General features: G+C 40.8%; 1 protein-coding gene across 5 annotated transcripts in view; it reads right to left on the bottom strand.

Annotated features, from left to right (window-relative positions):
- Window positions 1–913: 913 nt before the first annotated feature.
- PLCL2 (phospholipase C like 2) overlaps window positions 914–12,736 on the bottom strand; it is a 205,652-nt gene continuing 193,829 nt past the window's right edge. For 4 of the 5 annotated variants that reach the window (XM_047447799.1, XM_017006025.2, XM_006713073.4 and 1 more), the window contains one exon: window positions 914–1,787. In XM_047447799.1, coding sequence (XP_047303755.1) covers window positions 1,608–1,787 — 180 coding nt within the window. In that variant the 3' untranslated portion in view covers window positions 914–1,607. The remainder of the gene's footprint in view (window positions 1,788–12,736) is intronic. The other variant, NM_001144382.2, reaches the window with a different exon arrangement.

Below are 12,736 nucleotides of genomic sequence, written 5' to 3'. Positions count from 1 at the left end.
ATTTTTACCCCGTGTAGAGTTCATTTCTGAGCTAAGGGCCTAAGCTACTGGCTGGTGGTTAGTTGGGTGTGCAGGGAACAGCAACATTATCCAAGGAACAGGCTTATTTTCCAACGAATTATATCCAGAGAAGGGCAGTGGAGATGGCGTACCTTAACTTAAGCACACTATTAGAATGCAAATGACAAGAACTGAGCAAAGAATTGTTTTTTTAAGAGGATATTGAGGAGACTGGACAGAAACAAATGAACAACAGCGCCTGAGCATCTCTTGAACTGTGAGGAAATCACTAATAAGATACTCAGCTGAAGATTACATATACTTATCTGGCTCACATACCTGAGTCAATGAATAGAAAAGAAGGGATTGTTGAAGATTTAGAGTAAATATTTACCCTTCCAAAATTTGAAAGCAGTTTTGGTTTGGGAGAAGCAGTAATTAGGCTGCAGTGTTCAGTATCTTGAAAGCACGAAGTCTCACTGATTTGCAAAATAAAAGCTTGGATTAAAAACTCAGCTGGCAGAAAATTATCTTTCAAAAGTGAAGGAGAAACAGAGACTTTCTCAGACAAACATAAATTGAAGGAATTTGTTGCCAGTAGAACTGGAGGAAAGCTACACCTTCTCCTGCCCCTCTAACTACTTTTGACTTACTCTTTGCCAGATTCTGAGGTGCACATTACTACAGACCTAATTCAGAAGCATCAAGAGGGCAGCTGTGGGTATCTCGGTTCACTTTACAGTCAGCTGCTGTTGCTTAAAGCTGTTGAAACCTTACCAAAAGCAAAATAAGGTCAGCCCCGACAAGCAACTTATTTTTGACAAAGCTGTTCAAGTAAGTGGCTACACTTAAGAGTAGAATATTTTGAGCTAGAAATCTTAAAAGTTAAGGCTTCATTAAACACATGTACTGCTATTGGAGAAATATCATAAAACATCTTTTTAATGTGAACACTACTTCATACAATGAAAAACTATTTACAATGTATTGTTTCCAGATTGGCTGCTTTTACATCATCTCTACCCATGTGCTGACTCGGCATGTATCTTCAGCCAGGGAGCTTCAGTCCAATTGCACATTCTCCTCGATGGCTCTCCAAGGACCCCGGGGATTCAGGGAACCCGTCCACTTACATTCTCTTTAGTAATTATGGCTCAGCAAGCATGCCACCAAAATCATCTAGAACCCAGAGACTCTGGCAACCCCATATAAGTAAAAATGTGTAGATCAGGTTTTTTTCTCCAATAAATAATAATTTGACAATCCAATCCATTTCCATCTTAAGAAATTGTTTTCACTTAGGAAAATGTTTCTCAGTGGAGCTAGAGTGAATAATCTTTCTTCATACTGGAACTGAGTTAGAATGTCTTTGTATACAAATATAGCATATTTTGGCCAGCAATATAATTGCCTGTTAAAGAGTTTATTTGCCTTCACACGCAGGATTGCTACATACATTCACAGTTTTAATAGACTGTAATTAGCTATTCCAGTTGTGCTTTAAAATCCCGAATATTATTCTCATTAGTGAGTGCAAAGCAAATGTCCCATCTGACTACAATTGGTCCTAGAGTTATAAACTCCATAATGGTTTATTGTAAGTTTCCTCATTCTCCAGTTTCATCGTTTGCTTTTTCGGGTATGACTTCCAAGCTCCGGCGTGGCTTCTGGACATCAGCATTTTCGGTGCCTGGTTTATTCAGTCCACATGAAACAGCAGCAAAATGGATTTGTTTCAGGTTCTCCAATGTCTCATTCTTAGCATATTTCAAAAGATCTGCTTGTCCCTATAACAAAACATGCAATTAAACAGTATTAGATATGACATAACTTAGTGTTATACTTCAACAATATCTATCTTTCACTGAAATAGAAGTATTCTGATTCCACAAGAAGGCATAATTATTTCTTATTGGCACTGCATCTGAATAGGTCAATTTTAATAAAAAGTGAGTTTGTTTTCCCAGTTTCAACACCACACTCCAAGAGTATGCTGCCTTTCTGGCCCTTTCTATTTATAGATCTGCATGGGGTTCTGTGTGCATGAACTATTCCTGTCTATCCTGGTTAAAATTACATCTTTCATTAGTTGTTTGGCCAATCTTGTTTTTTCCCTTTTAAGGTTTGATTAAAAAAAAAACTTTTTATTTTGAAATAAGTATAAACTCACAGAAGGATACAAATATAGTACAGAGAGGTCTTGTATACCCTTTCCCAAATTTCCCCCAATGGTTATGTCTCACATAACTATAGCACAATATCAAAACCAAGACACTGATGGGGGTACAAAGTGTGCCTATGCTTCTGTGTGACTTCATCACATGTGTGGGTTCACGTAACCACCGTGGCAACCAAGGCACAGCACTGCACCAGCACCACCAGGAAGTCACACCCACCCCTCCTCTCCACCATCCCTAAACCCTGGCAACCACTAATCTGTTCTCCATCTCTGAAGCCCACACAGCCTTTGGTAAGTGCTGGCAGCCGTGGGCACGCAGCAGGTCCTCACTGAGCATTTGCTGAAAGAAAGAGTGAAGCAAAGGATTTTCTACTTTGGATATACTTTCTCAGCCAAATTTTAATTTCTTTTCTGAGGTCTGACCATCAACTTGATCTATATGCAGTATAACATGATATAGGTCAGAAAACAGTGGGCGAATTGAAGCACAGTCACTGGGAGTCTGGAATCGGTGCTGACAATGGGCCAATGAAGTTTGTCACCCTCTTTGCTCTTGACATTTTGGACCAGAGAATTCTTTGGAGGTGGGGAGCTGTCTTGTGTATTTTCAGATATTTAGCAGCACCCCTAGCATACCCTAATGTTTGCAGACATTGCTAACTGTCTCTTGAGTGGGAGGGTGAGCTACCCCCAGTTGAAAACCACTGGGCTAATGCATCAGCCAACAATTCCAAAATTATCGAGCAGAAGAGATGATGTGGTGCTCTATTGCTGTAAATTCCAACACTCCTACTTTGCTTTTTTGTTCTATTTTTCCTTCCAAATTTAACCTGCCTTCCACTAACAGTTTTTTCTACTTACACTATTACCTTTTCTTCTTTCTCACTCTCCTTGCTTGCTATTTTTTCCCATCCCCTTGGGTTCTCAATTTATTCTATTATTTTCTTTATGATTCCTCTGTAGTTTGACTTTTCTTTGTCCTACTTACACCTCCTCCGCCTTTCCCTCTTTCTGAACTGCCTCCCAGTGTGGGTCCCCTTTAAGGCATTCCTGTCCAGCAGGAGCTTGGGGCCAGCTGCAGAGAGCAATGGGTAGGGACTTACCTTGGCTGGCAAATGGACTATAGTCAAATGTCAGCCACTGGTGAGATCAAATTGCAAGGCAATTTTAAACCGTCATGAGGCCCAAATCCACAGAACAGTTTGCTGCCTACCACTTACCATGCATGGTTTTCCTGCTTTACAGAGTCCTTTAATTAGTAACTATAAATAGATGTTCCCTTGCGTAGATTAACTAAAGGAGCTTCATTTTTATTCATTCTTACTAGTCACTGAACTCACATGTTGAAAATTTACTAGTTATGAGGTCTTTGTATATATAGCATATTGTGTCAGGAGTATAATTTCATGTTAAATAGTGTATTTCCCTTCACAAGCAGAATTGCTACACACATTCACAGTTTTAATAGACTAACTAGTCTTTGTGTTTTAAAACTCCAAATATTATTTTTTAAAATTAATAAACTTTAATTTTTAGGACAGTTTTAGGTTCACAGCAAAACAGAGCAGAAACCACAGAGAGTTCCCTTACGCTCCCTCCCTACGCAAACCTTCTCTAGTAGCCACATCCCGCACCACAGTGGTATACTTGTTACAATCAATGAACCTATGTTGCCACATCCCCTCAAGTCTATTGCCTAAATTAGGGCTCACCCTTGGTTTTGTGTATTCCATGGGTTTTGAAAAATGTATAACAACATCTATCTACCCTTACACGATCATGCAGAATAGTTCCACCACCCTAAAATTCCTCTGTGCTTTGCTAGTCATCCTTCCCCACTCCCAACCCCTGGCAACCATTGATCTTTTTATTGTCTCCACAGTTCTGCCTTTTCAACAATGTCGTCTAGTTGGAAACACAGTGTGTAGCCTTTTTGGATTGGCTTCTTTCGCTTAGTAATATGCATTTAAATTTCCTCCATGTCGTCTCATGGCTTGATAGCTCATATCTTTTTAGTGCTGAATAATATTCCATTGTCTGGATGCACTGCAGTTTATTTATCCATTCATTTACTTCAGGACATCTATGTTGCTTCCAAATTTTGGCAATTAAAAATAACTCTGCTATAAGCATCTGTATGCAGATTTTTGTGTTGACATAAGTTTCCAATTCATTTAGGTACATTCCAAGGGGTATGATCGCTGGATCATATGGTAAGAGTATGTTTAGTTCTGTAAGAACTACAGATAGTTTGACAGTTTCTTCCAAATTGTCTGCACCATTTTGCATTTCCACCAGCATAAATGAAAGTTCCTGTTGTTTCACATCCTCGCCAGCATTTGGTGATGTTAGTTTTGTATTTTGGCTACTGTAATAGATGTGTATTGGTATCTCATTGTTGTTTTAATATATAATTTCCTAGTGACATGTGATGCTAATATACTTTCCATTTGTATATCTTCTTTGGCGAGGTGACTGTTCAGACTTTTGCCCAGTTTTTAATCAGGTTGTTTCCTTACTGTTGAGTTTTAAGGGTTCTTTGCATTTTTTAAGAGCTCTTTGACTGCTCAGACTTTTGCCCAGTTTTTAATCAGGTTGTTTCCTTACTGTTGAGTTTTAAGAGTTCTTTGCATATTTTGGAAAACAGTACTTTATCAGGTGTGTCCTTTGCAAGTATTTTCTCCCAGACTGTGGCTTCTCTTCTCATTCTCTTGACATTGTCTTTATAGAGCAGAAGTTTTAAATTTTAAGGAAGTCCAACTTACCCATTCTTCCTTTAATGGATTGTCTATGGTGGTGTATCTGAAAAAGCACTGCCATATCCAAGGTCGCCTAGATTTTATCCTGTGTTATCTTCTAGGAATTCTATAGCTTTGTGTTTTATCTTTAGGTCTATGATCTATTTTGAGTTAATTCTTGTGAAGGGTGTAAGATTTGTGCCTAGACTGAATTTTTCATGTGGATGTCCAGTTTTTCCAGCATGAATTGTTGAAAAGATGAAGTCTCTATTCCACTGTATTGCCTTTGCCTCTTTGCCAAAGATTGAGTAACTGCTTTGTGTGGGTCTATTTCTGGGCTCTTCTATCCTGTTCTGCTGATCTATTTGTCTATTCTTTTCACACTGTTTTATTTCCTGTAGCTTTGCAGTAAGTTTTAAAGTCAGATAAAGTCTGTCCTCTGATTTTATTCTTCTCCTTTAATATTGTGTTGGCTATTCTGGGTCTTTTGTTTCTCTCTTTAAACTTTGGAATCGGTTTGTCAATTTCCACAAAATAACTTGGTGGATTTATTTATTTATCTATTTTTATGCTTGCTGGAAGTTTGAGATTATGTTGAATCTATATATCAAGTTGGGAAGAACTGATATCTTGACAATATTAAGTCTTCCCATCCATGAATATGGAATATCTCTCCATTTACTTAATTCTTTGATACCTTTCACCAGAGTTTTATAGTTTTCCTCATATAAGTCATATATATGTTGTTAGATTTATACCTGAATATTTTATTTCTGGGGGTTCTAATGTAAATGGTCATGTGTTTTTAATTTCGAATTCCACTTGTTCTTTGCTGGTATATAAGAAATAAATTGGGCCGGGCATGGTGGCTCACGCCTGTAATCCCAGCACTTTGGGAGGCCGAGGCGGGCGGATCATGAGGTCAGGAGATCGAGACCATCCTGGCTAACATGGTGAAACCCCGTCTCTACTAAAAATACAAAAAATTAGCCGGGCGTGGTGGCGGGCGCCTGTAGTCCCAGCTACTTGGGAGGCTGAGGCAGAGAATGGCGTGAACCCAGGAGGTGGAGCTTGCAGTGAGCCGAGATCACACCACTGCACTCCAGCCTGGGCAACAAGAGCGACACTCTGTCTCACAAAGTGAGACTCCGCCTTAAAAAAAAAAAGAAATAAATTGGCTGGGTGTGGTGGCTCATGCCTGTAATCCCAGCACTTTGGGAGGCTAAGGCTTGAGCCTCAGGAGTTCAATACTGGCCTGGGCAACCTGGCGAAACCCCATCTCTATATAAAAATACAAAAATTAGCTGGGTATGTTGGTGTGCACCTGAAGTACCAGCTACTTGTGAGGCTGAGGTGGGAGGATCACCTGAGCCCAGGGAAGTCAAGGCTGCAGTGAGCCATGATCATGCCAGTACACTCCAGCCTGGGTGACAGAGTGAGACCCTGTCTCAAAATTTTTTTTTTCTTAAAAAAAGAAATCAATTGATTTTTGTATACTAACCTTGTTTCCTGCAACCCTGCCATAATTGCTCATTATATTGTTCGAGGAGATTTTTTTGTCAATTCTTTTGGATTTTCTACATAGATGATTATATCATCTGTGAACAGAGACAGTTTTATTTCTTCCTTCTCAAGATATATACCTTTTATTTTATTTTCTTGTCTTTCTTCATTAGCTAGGACTGGACTTCCAGGTCAATGTTGAAAGCAGTGGTGTCAGAGAACATCTTTGCTTTGTCCCTAATCTTATCGGGAATGCTTTCAGTTTCTCACCTTTAAATATGATGTAAGCAGTATGATTTTTGTAGATGTTCCTTATCAAGTTGAGTAAGGTCCTCTCTATTCCTAGTTCACTGAGAATTTTTGTCATGAATGGGAGTTGAATTTTGTCAAACTTTTTTTGCATCTACTGATACAACCACGAGCTTTGTCTTCTTTAGCCTGTTGATATGATGAATGACATTAGTTGATTTTCAAAAGTTAAATCAACCTTGTATACCCAGTATAAATCCCATTTGATCATGGTGAATAATTCTTTTTATTCATTTTTGGATTTTAATTGTTAATATTTTGTTAAGGATTTTTGCATCTGTGTTGATGAGAGATACTGGTCTATTGTTTTCTTTTCTTGTAATGTCTTTGGTTTGGTATTAAGGTAAAACTGGGTTGGTAGAATGAGTTAGGAAGTATTCACTCTGCTTCTATTTTCTGGAAGATATTGTAGAGAATTGGTATCATTTCTTTCTTAAATGTTTAGCAGAAACCAGTGAACCTATCTGTGCTGGTGCTTTTTGTTTTGGAGGCTTATTAATTATTGATTTGATTTCCTTAATAGATATAGAATTATTCAGATTGTATATTTCTTCTCATATGAGTTTTGGCAGATGGTACCTTTCAAGGAATTGGCCTATTTCATCTAGGTTTTCAAGTTTGTGGGCATAGAATTGTTCATAATATTCCTTCATTATCCTTTTAGTGTCCATAAAATCTGTGGTGATATCCTTTATTTCATTTCTGACATTAGTAATTTGTATCATCTCTTTCTTAGTTAGCTTGACTAAAGACTTACTGATTTTAATAAGGTTTTCAAAGGACTAGCTTTTGGTTTTACTGATTTTTCTCTATGTATTTTCTGTTTTTAATGTCATTGATGTATGCTCTTATTTTTATTAATAAAAATTAGTACCTACCAAAATGCCTATCTAGGCATCATTCTTTTGGACATCACATGTCCAGTTGAGTTTCTGATATCCTGCTACTACTCCTACTACCAGCTACTCTTCAGTCAAAGCAACTCCATTCTTGCAGTGACCTGGACCAAGGACCCTGGTGTCATTATTCATTCTTCCCTTTTTCTTCCATCTATCATCCCATCTGTCAGTAGGTCCTAGTGTCACAATCTTCAAAACATATATATAAAGTTTCTCACCACTTTTTACCATCTTCACTGCCAACATTGTGGTTTAAGCCACCATAATCTTTCTTGGAGTTTATTCTGACTGGTCTTCTTTCTCCATGTTCAACGTGACAGCCAGAGAGCTCAAATTAAAACACAGGACATCCCTTTCCCTCTGTTCAAAACCCTTCAGCAGCTCCCCAAATAACTTAGAGTGAGAGTCAAAGTCCTTGCCCACAGCCTCATCTGACTTCCTTCACTCACCTACCCACCCTGTATTGTTCACTCAGCCTCTGATATGCTACGCTCCTAAATGTTCCTCAAACCCATCAGGTCCTCTCTAGTCCAACCTCAATGTCTATGCACTCATTGTTCCCTCTGCAGGGAATGCCCTTGCCCCAGAAATGCACGTAGCTAGCTCCTTCCCCTCCCCTTGATGCCATCTTGACTCTGATGCCCTCTTCACAGCAGCGCCTTCCCTGACAGCCCCATCTTGTCTAATTAGAACTCCCACTTCCTGTCCATAATTCTCCTTACTGCTTCCCTGCCTTGCTTTTTCCATAACACCTATTGCCATACTCTACTGCTTGGTTTATTGTCTGTCTCTTCCACTAAATGTAAACTTCACGAGGGCAGGAATTTTTGTCTTCTGATCACTGCTGTATCCTCAGAGCCTAGAACAGTGCCAGGTACAGAGTAAGGGCTCCATAACCATCTGTTGAATGCAATTAAAGTATTGTAATTAAAGTAAAATGTGAAAGTCTCCCCTTTAATCTCACAGCTGCCCCCTAAACAATGAGTTTTGTCTTTTTCTTGGCATTATATATATATTACAAATAGGTATTTTATTTTACTTTTAATGTAAATACAATCAAGCAATCTATATTGTTCTTTGGTTTCCTTTTTTCTTCACGAAAAGTTATGTCTTAGTGATCTTTCCGTGTCAGCATATATAGATCTACCACATGATGACAGGGTATTTAAAAACAAAAATCCCCAGATGGCATATGATAATTAATGTGGTAATAACAGAATTCTTCATCTGGTTGAATCTTATGTTTCTCAACTTCAGAGAAGTAATCATGGTATCTTAAACAGAATAGGCCTTTGGACATTACCAAGGCGAGACACAAAGGACTCCCAAAGGCAATAAATCTGGGCTTGAGGAGCTGCTGAACTTTGTCCACATCACTTTCATTTTGTTCTATGTGTCTAAGACTACATGTTTAAGATGTCTTGGAGGTAAGGCATGTAGCATGAGTGAAGAACAATTCTGGCCAGGCGCGGTGGCTCATGCCTGTAATCCCAGCACTTTGGGAGGCCGAGGCGGGCGGATCACCTCAGGTCAGGAGTACACGGTGAAACCTCGTCTCTACTAAAAATACAAAAAAAAAAAATTAGCTGGCATGGTGGCGGGTGCCTGTAAACCCAGCTACTTGGGAGGCTGAGGCACAAGAATTGCTTGAACCCAGGAGGCAAAGGTTGCAGTGAGCTGAGACCACACCATTGCACTCCAGCCGGGGCAACAAGAACAAAACTCTGTCTCAAAAAAAAAAAAAAAAAAAAACTCTGAAAGAGGTGGGGGTGTTTGTTGTAGCAGTGTTCATATTTCATTGCTTCAAAAGACTTGAAAAGAGCAAAGGTTACTTAAAACACTGCCACCCACTGACACAGGGTGTCTGGTTTTGAAGACTCCTTCCACAAAGCTGGCTTTGCAATGTTTTCAGTTGAACAACTCAAATGTCATTTGATTTCGCACATTCTGGTTTGAATTTTTTTAACTTATTCTATTTTGTTTTCATCTTGAAAGAGTTATAACAACCTTAGGTCAAAATATTTAAGGTTCTTACTTAGGCCCAGAAAGTAATCTTTAAAAGATGTAACTAAGGGCAGTGGCTGGATCCCAGCAGCTCTTGCTGCGAGTCTGGCGTGACTGTGCTTTTTCTGGCTGAGCCTGTGGCTTACCTGGGATTGGATCAGAGGCCAGAGCAGCCAGGAAAAGAATGATGGCAGCTCCAAATGCCAGAACCGCACCCCAGCTGTGCTCAACCCTCGGCTAATCACCATACTTTCTGTATGACCACAAAAGATGTTCTAGTTTTTAATATATTAAAAATATTTCAAGACACATCTGTTAGTGCTACATTTTAGGAGCCATTTAACAATCACAAGTCATTGCTTTTATTCAGACGTAGGGGCAAAACAACAGGGATTCTACATCTGGCTAATTTTTTCAAAGTCCTTTTGTCCAACTATCTATTAGAGAAAAACAGTTGTCTTACTTCTGAGGTGAGGGATCCAGTGCGGCAGCTAAGACTTCCCCTGCCCTCTGCCACCTGTGTAATGGCCACATGCTTGGATGTTGAAGACAGCAAAGATTAGCACCTTCCATTCCCTGGGGGCCAGCAGACACTTTTCTTCCAAATCACATGCAGTGTGAGGGAGGAGAAGGAGGAGGGTACTCATACCATTATGGGAGTCTGAGGCACAAAAATACTCCTCCTTCCTGTCTTTCTTATCTATTTGGGAATGCAGAGAGGAACACAGCAGAATTTAGATACCTTCACTGATACCACCTGCTCCACAAAGAGGGGATGCAAGGGAAGTGCTATTACCATTCTCGTTTCATAAAAAGGACACTGAGTTTAGAGAGATTACGGGTAGAGTCTGAACAGCAAATCACACTGAAACACACACACCTTTCTCTCTGGTATGTTTGTTTTATTTTCCTGTTGGATAAACTAAACTGTGAGGCCACAACTATAGAGAGTTGAACCCCACAGACTGCATGCAATATTTTAAAGCAAGCAGGTTGAAACACACACTACATTTTTCATGTATCCAGCACATCAACAACTGTGTAGACAATTCACTCTTCCTGTGATTAAAAGCAGAAACAGAAATATGGATTTCCACTGTGTGTTTGTTGAATGAGGAATGAGTGAACAAAAGAATGAAACGGGTGTGGTGGCTCACACCTGTAATCCCAGCACTTTGGGAGGCCGAGGTGGGCGGATCACCTGAGGTCAGGAGTTCAAGACCAGCCTGGCCAACATGGTGAAATCCTGTCTCTACTAAAAATACAAAAATTAGCCAGGCATGGTGGCGGGCGACTGTAATCCCAGCTACTCGGGAGGCTGAGGCAGGAGAATCACTTGAACCCGGGAGGTGGAGGTTGCAGTGAGCCAAGATCACACCACTGCACTCCAGCCTGGGGGACAGAGAAAGACTCCGTCTGGAAAAAAAAAGAAGAATGAATGGATTGTAGGAGTCTTGGCTACGGATTCTAAATCGCCTCTCATTATTATACATTGATAGTTCCCCTTTCAAGAGTTCTTTTGAGGCTGGCTGAGATCGTGGCACATTCATCAGAATTAAGGAAGGCCTCCTAGCTTGGTCAGGTCCACTTCCCACTGAAGTCTCAGTAAACCTTACGGTTGAAAAAAGACTCCCTAATCATCAGTCACCTAAACCTACAGCAACAGGACACAGGCTTTTGTACAGGACGTTAGGCTCATTTTAAGAGTGCGTGATGTTTTCTGTCCTTTTGGCTTCCTGTATGTGCACTCACACGTTTGATGGGCATGGAACATGAGCTGCAAATCAGCTTGTCTCCCCACAGCAGGAAGACCGCCTTCCCTCCACCCTGACCTCCACCCCAAAGGGTGCAAAGAAGCTGCCAGAGGGGGATGAAGGGTTCTGTGCAGGAGCGGAAAGGAGAGCCCTCTAAGCACAGCTCCTGCCCTTGGTTTTTGCTGGATCCAAAGAGATGTTTCTGTGGTTCGAGGCAGTGTCTTGATGATGAAGGGATAGTGGGCTGCATGGATCTGACTTTCCATGTGGCTCCCTTTGCCTGCCACACTTTTTGCCTATATTTGGGCTGTCATCACATTCACAGTTAGTCTCCAATTTTCCCATGGTTGTGCTCAGAGGTTTGTACAAAAGTTAATAATTTTAAATATGATTCAATTTTTTAAATTCAGAATGAATGCCTTCATCCTTAGAAACAATTTTACTTTTCCTTCACCAAAGACGGAGGGTTGGGGGCTCCTCGGCAGCACCACGGAGGAGGCGGTGTCTGAATTGGGGAAACTCAGGGCAGGAAAGGACGGCGGCAGGCCCAGGGGCTGATGCTGCCTGCCACAGAGGAGTGACCGTGACTCCAACATATGGCACCTCTGGAGCCCAACCATTTAGCAGCATGATTTCTATGCTACAAAGCTTTCTAGGTTCTGACTGACTACATCTCCCTCTGCTACAGACCTGGCCATGGGAAGGGCTAAATTCCACCATGCAGTAGGACAGTGGCCTCGTCTGGCACAGAGCTGGCCACTCTGGTGGCAGAGGTAGGGTTAGCATTCAGGAGCAGCCTTTGGAGTCTCCAGACAGTGGAGGTGAGCCATGACCTAAGCACAGAAGGTGGGGTGTCAGGAGAGGGTTCCAGGCAGGGACCAGGGCCAGAGGGGAGGGGAGGGTGGCCCAGCTGTGTAGAGAGAGGATGCAGAGAGCGAGGGGACACTGAGAGGCAAGTGGGGCTGGGCCATGGGCGTGAGAGCCCTTGGAAACACCAGGGAAAATAGCATGCACGTAAGCACCTCCTTCGCGCTATTAATCTTTCAAGCACACCATTTACACAGTCAAACATTAGCTGAGTAATCACAAACTCCACATGAGTGGGGTCCCAATGTTTGAGGTTTTACTGTATTTCAAATGGACCAGAAAGAACAGCCTGCCTAATGACAAACGCTACTATAGTTTGATTTTCTGAGCCATTCTGAGAAATTTTCACACACTAAATAGAGAAATGGCTTTCAGTCAATTATAGCTTTTCAGGAAAAGAGACAACATACTATACTACCTATAATAAATAAAAATAACTAAAAGATATGAGCCTCAATAAAAGGAGTCATACATCAACCATCA

The sequence above is a fragment of the Homo sapiens genome, chromosome 3 (genome assembly GCF_000001405.40).
Source record: "Homo sapiens chromosome 3, GRCh38.p14 Primary Assembly".
Classification (NCBI taxonomy): Eukaryota; Metazoa; Chordata; class Mammalia; order Primates; family Hominidae; genus Homo; species Homo sapiens.
Note: the sequence above shows the minus strand (reverse complement) of the source record. Positions and strands in the feature narration are given on the sequence as shown.